Here is a 21,796-nt window from a genome sequence, read left to right as displayed (position 1 = left end):
GCTCAATAACAATATCCCCAAATATACATTTTTTCACGTGTGTGGTGATTTGGCATCAAGAACATAGTGTTCAAAAAAGTAGCCACGGCCTGTACGTGTAGAGACGTTTCACGGCTGCAAGTGTGAAGACGGTCCATCAGTTGCTGATGCATTCATTGTAGCCCCCAGTGAAGCATGCCTCCTGGACTCAAGCCTTTCCTAACTGTTACCCTGGAATCTAGGCTGGCCCTGTGAAAGGGTTTTCCAAAGACAATTGGCAGACATGATGCTGCACCAGATGGGGACCTAAGTCTTGAGGTGTCGTGGCACCTTCTGCTGTGTGCTCTGGGGAAAGCCAGCTTCTAACTGCCCCGAGGCCACCATGGTGGGAGGAGTGGAAGCTGCCTGTGGGGACAGCCATGTGGAGGACAGCAAAGACCCCCCGGCCCTCGCCCAGTGGAGCACCCAGCTGACAATAGCTGACACCCATTCGCCAGCTGCACAGATGGGGCCATGTGGACTTTCTGGACCCAGTTGAGGTGGCCTCAATGGGTGCCACATGGATCAGTGTGAGCACCTGCTGGGTCTCACCAAAATCATGCACATGTGAAGAGCAGCAGAAAGACGGCAGTGAAAAACTGCACGTTGGGGATGCCTGTTACACAGCAATTATTAACCCTACAGACCATTCGCAGCACAGTGGGATATACACAAAAGGTAGGAAACCAACCCCAGACCCTAACAGTGTCAGTGTTTAGGTAGGGAGAGACCCAAAAACGAGTACTTACACTAGAATATGCTAAGGGCAAAAATACAGTGTGTGCAAAGTGCTATGGTTCAAGAAGGATGAGAACGACTAACTTTACCAGCTGACAGAATTGAAGGGGGGCTTCCTGGAGGAGGTGACATGTGCTCTGGGTCCTCCAGTGATATTGCAACTTTCATGCATAGAACTCCAGAAAGTTTCTCATTAATTCCAGTGGTCTCCTGCTTCCAAGGAACTATTTCCTGTAGAGGCCAACAAAGGTCAGGGGACTTTCTCTGAAATGTTCTCCAGCTGGGGCAGAGATGGTGACTGAGAACTAAAACCATGTGAGAAATATCTCCAATGCCAGCAAGAAGATTGCCTCAACAGTGGATCATCTGCCTCTTTCAGTTTGGATTAAGAAATATGCCTTGGCAGGAGCTGTCTTCATCCTGCTACAAAATACCTGAAATGCACAGCCAGCACCCTGGCTGGAGCTTTCTTTTTGCCTCTTGAAGAGCAGAAATGCTCGGTTAGGTCTTCTCCTACTCATTTTCTCCCAGAGCTCCAAGAGCCCCACAGAGCCATTCAGCAGAGACACCCTGGGGAAGACTCCTCATTCAGCTTTTTCTCTGCAGGAGTGAAACCACGGATGAAGACGTTTGAATGCTGCTCTTTCTGCCAAGGAGGCCAGCTTCATGCACAGCTTCTTCAGCCCTCGCTGGTGTAACTTGTGGTTGGGGTGGGGCGGGGGGCGGCTGCTGTGTGGCCACTGGGCCTCCATCTGGGGGTGCTCGGGAATACTCAGCACACGTTGAGAGAGGGAACCAAGGAGCAGTAGTTCCCCTCCTGTCCTCTAGGGTCCAGCCATTCCCAGCTGTTGACGGAGCTCTCTCAATCTTCCCTGTTCCCAGCATCAGGGCCTGGAGTCTTCCCTGTTCCCAGCATCAGGTAGGACCAGTGAGGTCCAATCAACACCAGTCTGATTTAAGGTGAGCCTTTCTAGAGATGATTGCTGTAGGCGGAGAACTCTTTTCCACCTGCAGAGCAACTTTTCTTCAGTACTTAGCTCAAAATTCTTTTTTGTAAAGCTTTTTTTTTTTTTTGACCAATATTCTGCATAAGGGAGACTTAGAATCTCATCACTGAAATAATTCCCCCCAGTGCATTGCATGCCTTTGCATTTTCAAAAAACTCTTACTTATGTATATGTTGTATAGTGTACGATGTTGGCACACAAGTGCATCTATTTAACCTGATACAGTCATACCTATTAATGAATTGCATGCTCAAAAATTACTTATAATTAGGAGTATAAGATCAAAGATGTTTGGAAACTAATGATATATATTGATTTAATTAGCCATGTCCCTATTGATAAACTTTTGGGTTGTTTTCAGTGTTTTTCTCTTATAAATAATACTGCAGTGAGTAAAACCTTGATGCCTTTTTCTGAGTTCTCTTCTCAGCCACTACAAATGGAACTGCTGTTCCATAAAGTGTAAACATTTATGAATTGAATGGAAAATTCCAAATTGCTTTCCAAAGTGTCTGTACAGGGCTGGGCACCATGGCTCATGCTTATAATCTCAGCACTTTGGGAGGCCGAGGTGGGAGGATCGCTTGAGCCCAGGAGTTTGAGGCTGCAGTGAGCTAAGATTTTTGCTACTGCACTCCAGCCTGGGTATATCAGTCTGTTTTCATGCTGCTGATAAAGACATACCTGAGACTGGGAAGAAAAAGAGGTTTAATTGGACTTACAGTTCCAGATGGCTAGGGAGGCCTCGGAATCATGATGGGAGTCAAAAGGCACTTTTTACATGGCGGTGGCAAGAGAAAATGAGGAAGATGCAACAGCAGAAACCCCTGATAAACCCATCAGATCTTGTGAGACTTATTCACTACCATGAGAACAGTATGGGGGAAACTGCCCCCATGATTCAGTTATCTCCCACCAAGTCCCTCCCACAACACATGGGAATTATGGGAGCACAATTCAAGATGAGATTTGGGTGGGGACACAGAGCCAAACCATATCACTGGGTGACAGAGTGAGACCCTGTCTCAAAAAAAAAAAAAAAAAAGCAGCATCTATATCAATGTATACTCCCACACAGAGTGTGTAAGAGTCTGTTTTCCCTGCATCCCCATTCACCTGTGAGATTATGAAATGCTTGAATTGACACTGACCTGAAATGAAATCTTATTGTTGTTTTCATGTGCATTTCCTTAATTCCCAGTGGTATGAATATCTTTTCCCAGGTTTAATGGCAATTTTTATTTCCTTTCCAGTGAATTGCCTGTTCATAGTGCTTGCCTATTTTCCATTGGGTTATATTTATCTTTTTCTTATTCTCGATACTATTCCTTGTCTGTTACATGGGTTGCAAATATTTTCAACTTCCTCTTCTATGGTGGTCTCCTCGAGAAGTCCATGCAGTCACTGAAGCCTGGGATCCTGTCGTTGGAATCTCTGACCCTCTGATATCTGGCCCCTCGTCTGCCACAGAGTTGGGTGTGGCATTTGCTGAGGAAATGTAGGAAGGATTCGCGGAGCTGAAGCCACTTGTTTGGCTCTTCTAAGCTGGAGTCTGGCAGCCTGCACCCCCTCAGTACACAACTCAATTTTTCTCAACCTTTTCTCAATGGCATAAAACCATAAGCTATACATCACCCCCAATACATCTCTTCGGGGAATCTGAATAAAACATCTGCTTTCTCCATTTCCTCATAACTTTGTTCCTTTATGACTTGGCACTGCTTAGATCGCCCTGAACCAGAGCCCCCTCGAGCTAATGCAGTAAAAAGAGAAGATGAGAAGTCAGGCAAATCGACATCAGCTGCCTGGCTCTGAAACGCACTCCAGCTGGGTCTCAAATGTGTCTAATATCCTGGTTGGTCATTATCATGGCGAACTTTGCATTTTAAAGACTGGAAAGAGGTTCAGATTCAAGGAGCCCAGGATTTGTGGTAACTGCTGTGATGAGAATCCATCCTTTTCAAAGGAAAGTCAAAGTGAGCTGTGAAATACTGCGAAACCCACAGATGGAATGTGTCCTTTGCAGATGCAATAAAGGGTGTTTCCCCTCCCCTCCGGTGGAAGCAGGAGTCTGCAAGGGGCCTCACCACAGACATATGCTGCACATTTGTTCAAGGACTGACTGGGTTTTGGAACTCACTGTGATTTGCAAATTAAACATTTCTTTTGTTAGTGTTTAAAAGGAAAAATTAAAAAAAAAAAAAGATTCCCGGAATGGGGATTCCAACAGCGTTTTGATATGGTCTGAGCACTCCGTCTGAGCCCACACATATCCGCATTAATCAGTGGCAGTGACTTTATATCTGCTCCCTGATCTGGTGCAAACTTCCCTCTGACTCTCTAGAGCCCTCATGATCTTCCTGCAGCTCTAGCTCCCTTTTCTTCATAATAAGACCCTCAGCTTCTGGAGGGTGGGAGGTTTGGTGTTGTAAACTAGTGGTTCTCAACCAAGGGCAATTTTTCCCCCCGCAGGACATTTTTCATTGTCACAATTGGGATAGAGGAGGGTGTGCAGTTGGCATCTAGTGGGAAGGGCCATGAATGCCACTAAATATCCTAGCAGGCACCTGAAAGCCCCCATCACGAAGAATTACTGGCCTAAAGTGTCAACAGAGCCAAAGCTGAGAAGCCCTGGTGAAAATGCAGATGCCTATGGGGTGGGGTAAGTCATATCACTGAGGGTAGCAAGCTGGCGCGAGCGGGCAGTGTAAGTTTAGTCTCAGGGAGCGGTGGGGACTGTCGCTATAAGAAAAATCATACTCCTTCTCCATCCTGATCAATGCCATGTGCAATGCACCTCTGTCCTTTGCAAGAGAATTCAGAAATTCAGGTTTTTAGATAAAATGTGTTGATTTTAAAATCACTGCATGGAGTGAAAAAAATATATCTACTTTGGTCATCCAATTTCCCACGTTGGACCGTGACCTTGGACTCCCTCTAACCAGGCTGCAGTGAGGTAAGATTTATTAATACCTGCCAGGCTATTTCATGGGTTATGTTTGTTTGCTTTTATTTTTATTTTATTTTATTTCATTTTTTGAGATGGAGTCTGGCTCTGTCGCCCAGGCTGGAATGCAGTGGCGCGATCTCTGCTCACTGCAAGCTCCACCTCCCAGGTTCATGCCATTCTCCTGCCTCAGCTTCCCGAGTAGCTGGGACTACAGGCGCCCGCCACCACGTCCGGCTAATTTTTTGTATTTTTTTTTTAGTAGAGATGGGGTTTCACCGTGTTAGCCAGGATGGTCTCGATCTATCTGCCAGGCTATTTTCATGGGTTATTTTTATTTGCTTGTTTTTTAATCCTTCCAACAATTCACAGTATTATTCCCACTTTACAGATGGGGGAACTGAGGCTTGGAGAGATTACGTTGTCTGACCCAGGTCCCCCAGGCAGTACACATGGTGGGTTTGAACCTGTGTCTTTCTGGATCTCTCCTCACTGCCTGCGAACACGTGTGTCACAGTCTCTTTGCTGAACTGTTCCCTTTCTTTGAACCTCCCATCCTCTTTACTTAAATTTTAGTCACCTATCCAGGTCCAGAGCAGTTCAAACTTCTCCAAAGAGCCTTCTTGACCACATACAGCCCACTCTTATCTCTCTCTGGATTCATACAGCAAAGTGGATCAAGACATTTATCCTGGCTCATCTGGGTCAGTATCAATCAGCCCATCTCTCCAGCTTGAAGGCAGGGACTCAGTTAATCATTCTTCTCCTCTGCTTCCCTCTCTCCTGCCCAGCACAGAGGTAGGCACTCAGCAAAGAGCACGTGCATCATTTCTCTAAGTGGGCTCTGTGGGCCTTTTGTAGATCACCCCTGCAGGGAGAGGTTCTGCCATCCAACATATTTGGGAAGCAAGAAGTTTCCTTCCTGCAGGACTTATCAGTGCCTTTCCTACTATGTAATGTGCATTGGGATGCTCCAACAAAGAGAATATAAATTGCATTATCTTCCAAATGTATTTGAGAAGAGAAGCTGGGGGCCAGACGTTTGTTGGGAGGAGGGGTGGGTAATGCAAGAGGCATGTTCATGTTCTCCTTGCCCCAACACATATTCACAAAGTGACAGTTTTTCAGCAATTTTAAAGTAGTATGTTGACATGACAACTGATACATTCTTAATGGAAGACATTAGAGTAGAAACGATTTATTGATACAAGCCAGTATGTTGGACGTGTGAACAAAGCTGGGCTACGAGGCAGTGAGATATGTAGGGAGGGCAGAGCAAGGGCCTTCTTCATGTGTCTCCTTCCCCATCAACTGTGGCACTGAGGCCCGTGCATGGGCTAAGGAGGCTCCTTCAGGTGCTCGCCCCCAGGCTATAAGATGGCGCCACTGGCCACTCCACGAATGGAGCTTCGTTTTCCTTGGCAGCATTCGCTTGTGTGTGGTGCTAGCATTCCACTGAACAGGCTTCAGGAAGTTGGTTCAATTGTTGCAAGGCAGGGCTGGCATAGATAATCCCCTAAAAATAAAACTCCCCTAGTCACCTCTATTTGGAGTCATGTTTTTACGATCTCCCAAATTATAACTGTGTTTATCTATTACTAAAAAAAAAACTTTCGGCTGGGCATGGTGGCTCACGCCTCTAATCCCAGCACTTTGGGAGGAAGAGGCGGGCAGATCACTTGAAGTCAGGAGTTCAAGACCAGCCTGACGAACATGGCGAAACCCCATCTCTACTAAAAATACAAAAATTAGCAGGGTGCGGTGGCAGGTACCTGTGATCCCAGCTACTTGGGAGTCCGAGGCAAGAGAATCGCTTGAGCCCAGGAGGCGGAGATTGCAGTGAGCCGAGATCATGCCACCGCACTCCAGTCTGGGTGACAGAGCAAGACTCTGTCTCAACAATAACAACAACAACAACAACAAAAACCTCTTTAATTTTCCATTCTCAGGTAAGTTTAATAGGAGGAAAGGATCTACTTGGAAAGTCATTTGCATCTGATAATGGATAATAAGGCGACAAGTAGACTTTGAAGGTACAAACGAATTCAGATGGATACTCAAGTAAAAGGGTGTTATTGGTGGGCAGAACAGAAAAAGCAAAGCTGGGAGTGGGTACCCGGGGAGCTCAGACGGAGGTGAGGGAGGGCTGGTGAAGGAGGAATTGAGAATCCATGTTGACATACAGGCTGCGACCAGTGTGGGAGGTGGGGCCGGCAGCCTGCCTCGCTTCCAGGCATGACCTATATTCTAATTTCAAATGCATCCTTCTGTTCATACAAAAGAGGATTAAGATGAAAGCTCTCTTGGGGCATTTGGAGGAAAGAAGGGAGCCATTTAGGCTCACTCAGCTCCACTGGCGTGGAGGGAAGCGGGCCCAAGGCCAAGAATTTAACTGCATTTATTTTTATGGTTGGCTTTTATTTATGGCAAATGATACAGTTTTTTCATACTCGGTAATGACATAAAGTTTTCTCTTGAAATATATTTAAGAAGAAAAAAATGAGTTAATTTGAATATACAAGACAAACTAAATAATAATAGTATGTACTAATGACCTGCGGATATGGCAAACATGGTGAATGGTGTTTAGGAAACTCTTCCATGGCTACCTGAAGGCACTGCAGAGTCCTCATTTGAGGGGAGCCGCGAAGAAGGTGGTATTTCAAGCCTTCTAATAAGGCATCAAGGGCAGGACTAAAAGGGCAGGTACCTGCTTAACTGGAAGTGAGGAGGAGAGACTCATCCCAGGCCCTGGGGGGAGTTAAAGGCCACTGCTCTCTTTGTGACCCCAAGATGAGACCATAAAACTTTTAAAAGATCAATAGCCACTTCAGGAGGGCAAGGCTGGAGCGGAGAGCTGAGTTAATAAAAGCAGAGTGCACCGGTGGCGAGAGGCACAGTTCAATCCCTTGATGGGCCAATTAGTTTCCGAAAGGAACATTTTCAAGGCTTGGGGACAGAACGCTCAGCCACTGTCACAGTCAGAGATCTCACAGAAGCACAGCTTTGGTTCCAAAGCAGCCTGGAAAAGCGAGTGTCACCGGGGCTTGGGGAAGGTTTGTCTCCCAGGTTCTCCTATCCCAAGGGGGGCCATGGCCAGAACCTCTGGGAACAAAATGATGATACATCCCCACTCTTAATGTACCAATTTTTCTCCCAACCGTGAAAAGAGACAGTAACAAATGGGACTAAGAGCACAGGTCCCTGTGGTGTACCCATACAATGGAATATTCTCCAGACATAAAAAGAAATGAACTACTGATACATGCTATCATATGAATAAACCATGAAAACATGATGCTAAGTGAAGGAGGTCCATCACAAAAGACCACATATTTTATGATTCCATGTACATAAAATGTCCAGAATAGGCAAGTCCATAGAGACAGAGAGCAGATTAGTGGTTGATGGGGGCTGTGGGGAGGGAAGAAGGTCAAATGCCTGCTAGTGGATATGGGGTTGCCTTTTGAGGTGATGAAAATGTTTAAGAATTAAACAGTGGTGATGGTTGCAGAAGTATGTAAATACACTAAAAACCATTGGATGGTACACTTTAAAAGGGTGAATTTTAAATATGTGAATTGTATCTCAATAAAATGTACCATGAGAAACAAAAACTAAGAGAGTGATTAATTTTAAGCACATTTGAAGTTTTCTGAACAGCTTTCTGCCAGCAAAATGAAAAAGATTTTCCAACATCATCATCATCGTCAACAACAACAACAACAATGTCGACAACCAAAGCATGGGCCTGGGAGTCAGAATCCTGCCTTCAAAACTCTGCCACCCCTTAGGTGTGCGATCACGGACAAATGGCTTAACCTGTCTCAATTTTCACATGTGTAACACAGAAATAATTGCAGAGGATGGATGTGACGATTAAGAGATGCATACCAAGTGCCAGCAAAGGCTGGCAAATAGAAAGTGTACAAGCATGTCGCTATTATCATTGATTACAAGCCATTAGTCACTCTATCCTAGTTACTGATCCAAGGGAAAGTCTCATGCCAAGGAAGATTAACTCAAAAGATAGGAACCATTGAACAAAGAGAAGCTGCCCACTCACGGGCTGTTTTAATTAACTGAGTACATATATAACTCAACTTCAAGCTGCAGAGGTGATCAGCCTCCCCTTTGCAATGGTTTGCTCTTTTCTGTTTCAATTTTAAGGGCTTCGGGAGAGAAGGCTTTGACTCTACCCTCACAGATACTGGGAGGCCACTGACTCCCCTCCCCTCCCCTCCCCTCCCCTTCTAATCTTTTTCAGAGTCTCGCTCTGTACCCAGGCTGGAGTGCAGTGGCGTGATCTCAGCTCACTGCAAACTCCCCCTTCTGGTTCAGGTGATTCTCCTGCCTCACCCTCCCGAGTAGCTGGGATTACAGACATGCACCACCAAGCCCAGCTAATTTTTGTATTATTAGTGGAGAGGAGGGTTCACCATGTTGGCCAGGCTGGTCTCGAACTCCTGACCTCAGGTGAGCCACTCGCTTCAGCCTCCCAAAGTGCCATTCACTTTTCAGTTTAGGTCCTGACCATGAATTGTACCACAGGGACATTCATGATGCCCAAGAAAGGTGCAAGATATCAGCTGCAGATAACTTAGTGGCCACATATTGTAGGAAATACTCTGACAGGCTTCGAAGTGGACCAAAAGACTACTGAGTGTCATGAATGGTAAACTGTGCCACGTTTGGAACACATCTTTCCTGTTATTTGATTCTATGATGTTTGTATAGTGCGTCGTCCTTGACCTATTTTACAATTCCATAACTTTTAAATAAATGATAGCAATGGAAACAATTCTTGTCAATAGACATACAAATAAATTATGTTCAGTGGAGGGGCAATTGTTGCCCTCCACACCCATGTATAAAAGTCAGCTTTTCACCCACTTATAAATTTATCTCATGGTCTGTATATTTCTCTGCCTTTCATTGATAAAATTTCCTTTGAAATCCTACATTTTATAGACTCATGAATCGTTAAGTAAAATATTTGACACATGTCCTTTTTTTTCTTTTTTTTTTCTTTTTGAGACGGAGTCTCACTCTGTCGCCCAGGCTGGAGTGCAATGGCGCCATCTTGGCCCACTGCAACCTCCACCTCCTGGGTTCAAGCAATTGTCCTGCCTCAGTCTCCCCAGTAGCTGGGACTATAGGTGCACATCATCATGTCCAGCTAATTTTTGTATTTTCAGTAGAGATGGGGTTTCACCATGGTGGCCAGGATGGACTCGATCTCTTGACCTCGTGATCCGCCTGCCTTGGCCCCCCCAAAGTGTTGGGATTATAGGCATGACTCACCATGTCCGGCCTCTCTTTATATTTATAAGGTATGATGACTTTGCTGTGTTTAAAAAAATTATCCTGTAACAATGTAAATGCTGGTCAAAGGTATTATTCCATAATCCTACTGCCGAGAAAGATAAAGCATAGGACTGTCCACATTACAAAGAAAGACACAGCGAGGAATTGTAGTGCATATAGCGGGAGGCACAGATGAGAGAGGAACTTGCATGGTTTTTATTTTATTACCTGTTATCTCTGCTATAGCCTGTTTTGCACCTACTGACCCCTAGAAAAGGGGCCGCAAATACAAATGTCTTCAGAGACCAGTCAGATAATGGAAATATGTGAAGAGGCTGGACCTAAAGTAATGAGGAGTGGCAAGGACAACTGGAGAATGCATTCTCTGCCTGCACTGGCCAAATTCAGTGAAGAAACTCAAAGCACCAGGCCCTTTCTTTATGAGGGCCAAGGAATCAGTCCCTGGTGCCCCAAGGTAGCATGGTTTTTCCACTTGGAACCACCCAAGCCCATCAATCTAGATCTTATGGAACAATCCAGTCTACACGGAAACACTGCCAATTTACCGGAACTGAAGTCTCTCGCCTGCCCTCCAGAAGGGGGCCACTGGGAAGGACAATTGAACTTGGCCAAAGAAACAGAGTGACAGCATGCCTAGGAGCAAGGGCTTCAGATCAGTCAAATTCAGGTGGGGCAGCAGTGCCGCCACGACGGAACAAGAAGTCATGTGCAAAAGTGGCTTCACCTGCTCCAGCCTTGGTTTCCTCATCTGTAAACAGGAGATAATAACGGTTTCTCTATGGTAGGGATGCTGTGAAGATTAAATGATAGCAGCGAAGCGCTTCAGCCAGTACCCGGCATGTAGCTGGTGCTTGAGAGACATTAGCTATTATCATACAAATGGTGCTCCAAATATTAGCATTGGAATGAGCCGTAACTAATAAGTATTGATTAGCACCATGCATAGACAGGATGCTCTGAGCGATATAAAAGTGAGTGAGGAAGAATGCACAATGGAGCAGGGAAATAGAAGTGTCCAGCTCAGATCTGCCAGGAGCAAGGAAGTGGCGTTCTGGCCCAGGGCCCAGCTGTGGAGAGCATGTGGGTTCCAAATGGGGCAGGCTCCTCTGGACTGTGTGGAAAGTGCCCTCGGTAGTGGACATCTGTTCAGTCTGCCCATCAAGCATGTATTCTGTTTTTCCAATAACAGCATCCAGTTTTCCTTGGGGAAACCTCTCCACTCCTCTTTGGTACTAAGGGCTCTGCAAATGGAGTCCTATTTTCACCACTCTCTTTTTTTTTTTTTTGATTGCAAAAAAGTAAAATAAATTTATTGTAGTAAAATATGCATAGTAGATTTACCATTTAACCATTTAAGGGTACAGTTCAGTGGCAGTAAGTCCATTCAAATTGTGCAACCATCACCACCATCTGCCTCAAGAACTTTTTCATCCTCCCAAACTGAAACTCTGTCCCCATTGAACATTAATTCCCCAATCCTCCCTCCTCCAGCCTCTGGCATCCACCATTCTACTTTCTGTCCCATGAATTGGACTGTTATGGCTTCTTTTTTTTTTAATCTTTTTTAAAATTTTTAAAAAATTATTATACTTTAAGCTCTAGGGTACATGTGCACAACATGCAGGTTTGTTACATATGTATACATGTGCCATGTTGGTATGCTGCACCCATTAACTCATCATTTACATTAGGTATATCTCCTAATGCTATCCCTCCCCACTCCCCCCACCCCACGACAGGCCCCGGTGTGTGATGTTCCCCGTCCTATGTCCAAGTGTTCTCATTGTTCAATTCCCACCTATGAGTGAGAACATGCAGTGTTTGGTTTTCTGTCCTTGTGATAGTTTGCTCAGAATGATGGTTTCCAGCTTCATCCATGTCCCTACAAAGGACATGAACTCATCATTTTTTATGGCTGCATAGTATTCCATGGTGTATATGTGCCACATTTTCTTAATCCAGTCTATCATTGATAGACATTTGGGTTGGTTCCAAGTCTTTGCTATTGTGAGTAGTGCCACAATAAACATATATGTGCATGTGTCTTTATAGCAGCATGATTTATAATCCTTTGGGTATATACCCAGTAATGGGATGGCTGGGTCAAATGGTATTTCTAGTTCTAGATCCTTGAGGAATCGCCACACTGTCTTCCACAATGGTTGAACTAGTTTACAGTCCCACCAACAATGTAAAAGTGTTCCCATTTCTCCACATCCTCTCCAGCACCTGTTGTTTCCTGACTTTTTAATGATCGCCATTCTAACTGGTGTGAGATGGTATCTCATTGTGGTTTTGATTTGCATTTCTCTGGTATCTTCACCACTTTTAAACCCTATGTTTCTAGTGGGACCAAGTCACTGGCTTCAAGAAGTGGGCATGTGACCCAGGCCTGGCCAATCGGAGGCCAGCAGAGGCCACAGTGGGCATGTGACCCAGGCCCAGCCAGTTAGAGGCCAACAGAGGCCACAGTGAGCATGTGACAGGTCTGGCCAATCAGAGGCCAGCAGAGGCCACAGTGGGCATGTGACCCAGGTCTGGTCAATCAGCAGAGGCCACAACTTGTCATGTGACCCAGGTCTGGGCATGTGACACAGGTCTGACCAATCCAAAATCAGCAGACGCCACAAGTAAGCATGTGACCCAGGCCCGGCCAATCAGAGGCCAGCAGAGGCCACAGTGGCCATGTGACGCAGGCCCAGCCAATCAGAGGTCAGCAGAGGCCACAGTGGTCATGCGACCCAGGCCCAGCCAATCAGAGGCCAGCACCAGCCACAGTTGGTATGTGACCCAGGTCTGACTAATCAGAGATCAGCAGAGGCCACAAGTAGTCATGTGACCCAGGTCTGGGCATGTGACACAGGTCTGGCCAATCTGAGATCAGCAGAGGCCACAGTACGCATGTGACCCAGGCCTGACCAGAGACCAGCAGAGACCACAGTGGGCCTGTGACCCAGGCCTGGCCAACCAGAGGCCAGCAGTGTGGCACAGTGGGCATGTGACCTAGGCCTGGCTAATCAGAGATCAGCAGAGGCCACAATGGGCGTGTGACACAGGCCTAGCTAACCAGAGATTAGCAGAGGCCACAGTGGGCATGTGACACAGGCCTGGCCAATCAGAGACTAGCAGAGGCCACAGTAGGAATGTGACCCAGGTCTGGCCAATCAGAGGCCAGCAGAGACATATGATTGGTTCAGGGATAAGCAGGTGACTCAATCACAGCCAGTAATTCTCTACCCTGGAATGTTTTGTGTGAACAGTGGAGGAGCAGTCATGGCTTTTTCACTTGATTTATATCTAAGAAGATGAAGACCTGGTACGGGGGAAAGGAAAATCTGCCTCTAAGTGGAGTCAGCACAGAAAATATACCTACTGCAAGACAAGAAGGCACCTCTTAATGGAATAGATCTGAGTTCCTGCATCCAACCGTGCCTAACTGGATTCTCTTGTGGACTCTGCAACAGATTTCAGTTAGATTTTCTGTCTCCTATAACCATGAAAGCCCTTATTAAAATACTCCCTTTAAAGGACAAACACTGTGTGATTCCTCTTACACGAGGTGCTTAGATGAGTCAAATTCATAGAGACAGAAAATAGAACCATTACCAGGGGCTGCGGGGAGGGGGAGTGGGGAATTAGTGTTTAATGGGTACGGAGCTTCCGTTGAAGATAAAACAACATTTTGGAGGTGGATGGTGGTGATGGTTGCTCAACAGTTTCATTGTATTTGATGTCACTGAACTGTATGCTTAAATGTGGTTAAAATGGTCAATTTTATGTTATGTATATTTTACCACAATAAAAATATTCATTAAAAAACATTCTCCTTTGTAGAAGACTGTGTCAGTTACAATATTTTGACTGAACACTCTAGAAACCTAAACTCAGACTGGATTAAATGATAGTGAGATGTACCTTTTCAGCAAATAAAAAAGGGTAGAAGGCAGGCAATAAGGGTTGGTTAATTCGGTGACTCCGCAATGTCATCAAGGACACAGAGAGTTTCCAAGTTTCTGTTCTACCATCCTCAGAACACTGGCTTTTTATTTTTTTGGCCTTGTCTGGTATAGTTTCAAGGTAGCTAGAGCAACTCCAAGCCATTAAACCTCCACATGACTACATCCAAAAGCCCAAAGAAAGCATGTCCCTCCTGTCTCCTGGGCCAGCCACTGTTGGTTGCTTCCCTGACATCCATCCTTTTCTTCTTTCTTGCTAACAAAGCCCTGATCTTTTCAGGGTGGTAACGTGCCAAAGTGAAAATAGTAACTTCCCCAGACTTCCTTATTGCTAGGAGTGGCTCTACGGGTCCCATTCAGCCATGAGATATAAGCAGATGTCTACTGGCTGAACTTGCAAGGAAGCTATTGTTTTTCTTATCCAAAGAGGCAAACAGCGCCAGCCTTCACCTACTTATTGCCTTAGCCATACATCTTCCTCCATTTGCTCTACCTGGAACACAATAAGATGCCTGTGGGTATAGCTGTCATCCTGTGAGCATGAGAAAAGCCACCACATGCCATAGATGGCAGAGCAGAAAGAGAAAAGGAGCCTGGGTCCCCTGGCGTTGTGGAGACACTGAGCCAGCCACAGCCTAACCCTAGCCTCTGAACTTCATGCTGAGTCAAAGGAAAAAAAAAAGCCGTGTTTCGTTAGGCCTCTGCAATCTAGTTTCTGTTCATGGCATCAGTAAAAACACCCATTAGGGGAGTGACACGTAAAAAAGAAGGCAAAACCAAGCAAATTCTGGAATGAAGTCTAACCCAAGACCCATTCATCAGAGCAGTTTTTCTCTGACGTGCATGTCAAAACAAGATTTGTAAAGGCCCATGAATGCACTCACGTGTTGTGAATTACTTGGAAAAGAAACTGACAAGAGAAAGCACATCCCCAGTGGCTGTGCTTCACCTAAGTGTCAGAATGCGTCTTGCATCTTTTCTCAATGTGACCACAGTGTGAGTGTGTGGGGGGTGCGGGGGTGGGGAGGTGTAGATATTTTTCAGCCCTTGAATTTTCTTTCTTTCACCTTTCCACTCCTCTCTGGTGCTAAGGAGCCTAAGACGAGAAGATAACCCCAGTTGTATTCACGGTGGGTTATATGCTTTTTCATATTTTTCCTAATATGGACAGTGTTTATTCTCCATCTCTCCTTTCACTTCTCACGTTAACGGCAATGATAATAAAAGAGCATCGAAAGTGATCAAAGAAAATATAGTGAAGAAAGAAAGAATCCAGGGGCTTGGAGACCAGAAGAGACTTCAATGTATCTGAGGTTGGTTTTTTATTTTATTTAATTTCTTCTTTTTCAGTATTTTGTGATTTTGGCAAAAGATGGAATGCGATCAGGGCTCTATCTGAGGCAGCTGTGTAAGCAATCCTCATTTAACTGGAGACAATGAAAAATTAATCCAAGCCCAGTGTGGCTAAGTTTTCACAGAACCAATGCAACCCCTTGAATATTATCATCCTCAACAGATGTTTGCTGACTGTCTTGATTTACCAAATTACCTGTCAGGTTTTACTACTCTCTCCACAAGCCGCTCTAGTGTGGGCTCTGTCTTCATGTCACCTGGTTAATAAAAAGCTGATGGTATAAATGGAAAATGTAAATTGTGCTTTCTTTTCTTTTACTTTCTTCCCCTCCCCTCCCTTCCTCTACTCTTCACTCCTTGGTTAAAAAATCTGTCCACTATGTATATATTTGCTGTAGTAGGTGAAAGACTTTTTCTTTTTTCACCATTTAAGAGCTCATTAGTGCTTTTAACATCTGTCTTTGTAAGAAAGGCAGAGTAAAAAATATACTTGGGCCTGATTTTTGCTGCAGGAAGGAGACCGAAGAAGGCCTGTCAGACCCAGATATGTTTGTCCTGATTAAAAAAATCATAACTGGCCCCTGCTTCTCTCTCTGACCTTAACCACCACCTTATCCCCTCAGGGGGCCTGCTCCAGCCCTGCTGGACACTGTGGAGACTCCCAATTCGGTCCCAAACTCAGCTCACTGTGCCCTCTGCCTGTGCTCACACCCTTCCTATTCCAGTGTCAAACATCACCTCCTCAGAGAACTGGGTTGACCGCTCCAACTCAGCACGCCCCCGCTCACCTGCTTCAGTATCTCTCATGGAATGTGTCCTCAACTGGCAGGTCACATGTCTACCTGTGTCCTCTCCTCTCTAGATTAAAAGCCATGAGAGAGCAGGGTCTCAGTCTCTTCCGTCACTCAGTCCTAGAAGAGTGAGTGCCCAGCGCAGAGAAGGATCTCAGTAAATATTTTTAAATGAAGTAAAGATTGCATAAAGAACCCATGGTAACAATCCTTTTCTGGCTTCACATTGACTGTGGTTTTCACTGGGCAGATTGTTTCTGAGAGATGGGCACTTTGGATCTTGTTAGTAGAAAGCTGAGGGACACGGGGCTCGGGGTTTCATGACGCCTGTTTTGTGCGTCCACCTCACACCTGGCTTCACCTCACTTTCCCACCTTCATTCTCTCCTTGTCAGTATCAGGAGAGGTTAAGAACATAGATTCTGAGCTAGTTGAAATCCCCACTCTGCCACTTGCCAGCTGTGTGACCTTGGAGCATTTCTTAAACGCTCTGGGCTTCAGTTTCAGCATCTGTAAACCAGAGCTGATAACCACACCCACCTCGTAGGGATGTGGAGATTAAATAAGTCTGCATAAAGTGCTTAGAATAATGCCCAGTCCACGGCAAGTACAGGGTAAGTATTTGCTATGATTATTTATTTGAAATGTGTTTTGGCTTCCTATATTGGAGACAGTATTGTAAATTGTCTAAAATCCTTTGTGGAACAAGGTATGAGCATAAATAATAAAGCTGTTGGAGTGAAGCCAGGAGAATGCATCCTTGCTGCTATGAAAATCTATGATTCTTTTTTCCAGTTTCATATCCTCTGGCTGCCCCTGAAGGTCTTCATCATTAAGGGGCACCATGAAAAGCGTTTGGTCTGTAAGTAAGAGAGAACTGCTCCCTTCTTTAATGGCAAGATGACATTGTTAAGAGGTGTTTTTGAAAAGAAACGAAGCAATCACACTGTTTAGTAAATGTACTCCTGGCATCATTTGTTCCCTAAATCACAAACCCATTCTGCACACCGAGGCACTGTGGAGGAGGCCAGCAGTAAATGTCTCTGCATGAGGTCCACCCCTCAGGAAGGGCTGTGTAATGGACATTGGCTCCTGCGTCATGTAACTTAGGGGGTCCTTTCATCTCTATCTCTAGGCCACGTGGCTGAGATGGGGCTCCCACGGTGCAGCACATGGCACAGGCTTAGCAAATCGAATCAGCACAGCCCATGCACAAGGCATTGGATCTTGTTCAGAGACAGGCATTGTAGCCTAGAACCTTCACATCAGACTGGTCGTCAGAACTCTGGCATGGCCACAGGAACAGAGCTGCTTTCTGCCCTGCTGGACTCGAGCTTGGAAAGGTCAGTGGGGTGGAGACGATATGCCTATCATCCTGCCACGTGAAGCATGAGAATGACTCCAGTGGAGGAGAGCAGAAAGAAATCAAAACACCTTAAAGTGGAGGAGGCCACTTTCTAGTGACATATTCTTTTCCTCAGCTTTATAGAGATATAATTGACAAAGACAAATTATATTAATTCAAGGCATACAACATGATGACTGGATATACATACTCACTGTGAAACGATTACCGTAGTCACCTCTATCACTTTCCATAGTTACCAGTTGTGTGTGTGTGTGTGTGTGTGTGTGTGTGTGTGTGTGTGTGTGTGTCTATGGGTATGTGGACACTTATGATCTCTCTTAGCAACTTTCAAAGTAAACAACACAGTATTATTAACTACAGTCATCGGGTGACATACATTGAACTACTAAATCCCCTTGTGTAGAATTCAAGCTTACTCCTAGTTTGCTAGGTTCTTTTTTTCAATTGAGTTTGGGTTGGCACTTCTTTCTCTTGCATTGAAACAGCCTTTTTGGATAAAGATAGGTCTGTGTGAAACACTCCTTGAAGGAGACATTATGATGTTCTGATTTGGATGGGGTCTTAGAAGACTGGCTATCCTTGAGTGGTCCTGGAAAACTTGAAAGTGGGTTGGGATGTTTTCTAAAGGGTCAATAAGCTGAATTTGCTCTTCAAAATGATGCATCCCTTTGGTATTTTGTTCCCAAGTTTCTAGAAGTGAGGATCCCTGAAACATCTAAAAGCAACACAATAACCACAACTATACCAACATTAAGCACAATGATAATGCTTCATGTTTCCCAGGAGCCTTTAGAAGCACATTAATTTAATTTTCAAAGTAACTGTAGGTGGTGGATGCTATTAATGTCATCACTATTTTAAAGACGAGGAAACCTAGACATAGAGTTTAGTAACTTGTTAAATTTCAGTTACTAAGTTGAATGTTGGAACCCGAACCCTGGCAGTCTTTTCTGAGTCTAAGCTCTGAGGCACCATACAGTACGAACTACGTGATGTGGCAGTGCAGCTGGGAATGTGGCTATTTATCCACCCATTACTCCTCTGATGGAAGATTCAATCAAAGAGATCAATCTCATGTAAGGATGGCGTCACTCTGCCATTCAAACTCAGAAGTAATTTCATGGGCGTTTTATGTCAGTTTGATATGCTCTAGAAACAAACAAAGCAAATACCAACAGCCAGGATCTTTCCCTCTATGGTGTGGCTGCAATCAATATAGGGCCAAACACAATGTTTCACATTTTCAGGTAATGGTTGAACCAACCCAATACATTTAAATAAAACGAGCAAAGAAATAACATTCTCAGGTCCAAAAAGTCAATAGGTTCTTTAGGAAAACCTCCCCCAAACAATATAGGTTTCAGAAATATGCACACAAAATGTCAATCATTTTTTTTCTATATTAGACCTATGTTCATCCTCATGTTATCCTCTTTAGTAGCATTCTTTAATCTGAAAGCCTAGAATGCAAGGGACTCTGAAAGCTCAGAGACAGCTATTGATTAAAACTTTTTTTTTTTTTTTTTTGGTTAGGCTTGGTGTCTCATGCCTATAATCCTAGCACTTTGGGAAGCTGAGGCAGGTGGATCACTTGAGGCCAGGAGTTCAGGACCAGCCTGGCCATCATGGCGAAACCCCATTTCTGCTAAAAATACAAAAACTATCTGGGCATGGTGGCACACGCCTGTAATCCCAGCTACTCGGAAGGCTGAGGCAGGAGAATTGCTTGAATCCAGGTGGCGGAGGTTGCAGTGAGCCAAGATTGTACCATTGTACTCCAGCCTGGGTGACAGAGTAAGACTTTGTCTCAAATTCTTTTTCTTTTTTCTTTTTTTTTTTTTCACCTATTTAGATTATATTATGTTACTGACCTTCATGCAGTTCTTAAGAGTCAAACTATGGAATTTATGCTGAATTTTGGAAAAAGGGATCCCCAAATAGATGGTGAATTTCTTGGAAAGAATATAGCATTTTGGAGATAGAATACCATTTGTTTCTTCTACTCTGCTAGGTGGTTTTGGATGAGTTACTTTTAATGCCCTTAAATATCAGTTTCTTCACCTGTGACATGAATTCCCACTACCCCGTCCAGCTCTCAAAGGTTTATTGTGATGATCAAATGAAATGATATCCATGGAGATGCTTTTTGCAAATTATAAAGTTCCATAAAGACATGAAGAACTTCTTATATTTACATTTTCCTATTGACTATTTTTTAATACCAAGAGTTTATACAAGCAATTCTAGGTCATCTGTAAGAACACTGTGAGTTATGCATTGCTGCGAAAGTTTACCCTAAAATCTGTGGTTTAAAACAACTCACATTTATCATCTCAAAGTTTCTGTGGCTTAAGAATCCTGAAAAGCTTAGTTCTGTCCTCTGCCTCAGGGTCTCTCAAGGCTGAAATCCAGGTGGTAGGAGAGGCCGGGGTCTTATATGAAGGCATAGTTGGAGAAGGATCTGCTTCCAAGATCATGTCGTTGTTGAGAGAATTCTGCTCACCATGGGCTATTGGGCTGGCAGCTTCAGTTCCTTGTTGACTGTTGGCTACAGACCACCTTCAGTTCTCTGCCAGGCGGGCTCTGCCAGCACACAGGCCAAGAAGACAATGGAGTCTGCTAGCAACACATAAACCCCAGGCTTTGCCACCTAATCATGGGAGTGGCATATCACTATTGGTTAGTTAGATATCCCATAATATTTTTGTTAATTAGTTATAATAATTATTATCTTTCTCAGACCATTCTCCATAACAATATCCCATAATATTGGTTAAAAACATTGCCAGTCTAGCCCGTGGAAGAGGACAGGATTGTTTAAAGGCATGACTACCAGGAAGGGGGGATCCCTGGAGACCATGTCAGAAGCTGCCTCCCACAAACAAGAATCCCTGGCTTTCCTAATATCAGCAGCTCTCATTTTGGGCCAAGCATGTGGCACTTGTCAAATTATTTGCTCTTGAGGGCAATCTCATGAGGTGAGAAATACAAGTTCCCTTTTAGAGATAAGGAAACTGAGGCCCAGAGAAGTGTCTTCCCTGAGTTGTACGAGATGTAAGTGGCAGAACTGATTTTAAATGGCAGATGTTATCTCTCAACCCCGTCACTGCACTTACATTGTTTTCTGGAATATGGGACCCATCGTACCCATATCTCAGGGTTGATGTAAGAATCAGAAAACATCATGGTTGAACTGGAATTCCTGCAAAGAAGCAGCACGGGGTGGGCATAAAGCACTGCTGGACAGTGCTGGCCTTGACGCTCCCCAGGCCAGGCGGCACAGTTTGTACTTGAATCTCATGCTGGCTTGCGGGGCACTGCTGGAGATGATGCTGTGATGGCTGAAGCCTCTCCTCACTGACTGCAAAGCCGTGAGAAATAATAATTACTATTTCTCAACACAAAGGTGTTGTGACCCGCATATCTGTGCCCCCCTAAAATTCATATGTTGAAACCCTAACCCCCAATGCAATTGTACTGAGAGGTGAGGCCTTTCAGAGCTGAGTTAAGTTTAGATGAGATCTTGAGCATAGAGCCTCCACAATAGGACTCACGTCCTTATGAGGAGATAAAGAGCCCGGAATGCTCTCTCTGCCATGTGAGGCGCAAGGAGACAGCAGCCTACTGCAATCCCAGAAGCAGCCCTCCTCAGACAACAGGTCTGCGGTGCCTTTATGCCTTTATCTTGGGCTTCACAGCCTCCAGAACTTTGAGAAATAAAGGTTTAGCCATTTATGCCTAGTGTTCCATTATTGGAACACTAAGCATGTGGGAGTTATTTACATCCTATTGCTCAAGGTCATCGCCAAGGTCTGAGTGCAAAAATTCAAAAAATTGCAACCTCAGGCATAAATGGGTTAAGCCGACCAATCTGTGGTATTTTTGTTTGAGCAGCCCAAATGAACTAAGACAAGAGATAATATTTATTGAGGATTTGCTAAGCGTCAAGCACAGTTCTAAGCTTGTCACATTTTTACATTACTTGTCATCCCCATAACAATCTTATGAGATCCCCATTTTATGTGTGAGAAATCTGAGGTCTGAAGAGTCATTCTTCCGGGAATGTACACTGCCCAAATTCAATCACATCAGACCCAGACTTGCCCGAGAGCGCATGGCACAGTGCTAGGATAACAGCAGCAGCTCTACTAATGGGGGACATTAGATGATTGTATCATCATTATCATTATCACTCCAAGGAGCAAACAGGAGTCCTTGGCTTGTGGCAATGGTCGCCTTAAATATTAAAGTCTCTCTTTCTGCCGAGCAGCCCTCTGTGTTGTGCTGGTT

At 44.7% G+C, this 21,796-nt stretch overlaps 1 protein-coding gene across 3 annotated transcripts in view, besides 2 other annotated features; it reads right to left on the bottom strand.

The window, feature by feature from the left end:
* TMEM132C (transmembrane protein 132C) overlaps window positions 1-21,796 on the bottom strand; it is a 440,742-nt gene that overhangs the window by 122,689 nt on the left and 296,257 nt on the right. The gene's annotated exons all lie outside the window — the stretch shown is intronic.
* Window positions 12,604-12,773: a silencer, noted in NCBI's record as "silent region_5087". NCBI's record gives its function as "represses an Ori minimal core promoter by ATAC-STARR-seq in GM12878 lymphoblastoid cells {active_cell/tissue: GM12878}" and the evidence as "EXISTENCE:reporter gene assay evidence [ECO:0000049][PMID:35858748]".
* Window positions 14,658-14,847: an enhancer, noted in NCBI's record as "active region_7326". NCBI's record gives its function as "activates an Ori minimal core promoter by ATAC-STARR-seq in GM12878 lymphoblastoid cells {active_cell/tissue: GM12878}" and the evidence as "EXISTENCE:reporter gene assay evidence [ECO:0000049][PMID:35858748]".

The sequence above is a fragment of the Homo sapiens genome, chromosome 12 (assembly GCF_000001405.40).
Source record: "Homo sapiens chromosome 12, GRCh38.p14 Primary Assembly".
NCBI lineage: Eukaryota > Metazoa > Chordata > Mammalia > Primates > Hominidae > Homo > Homo sapiens.
This window is presented reverse-complemented; position numbering and strand designations above follow the sequence as displayed.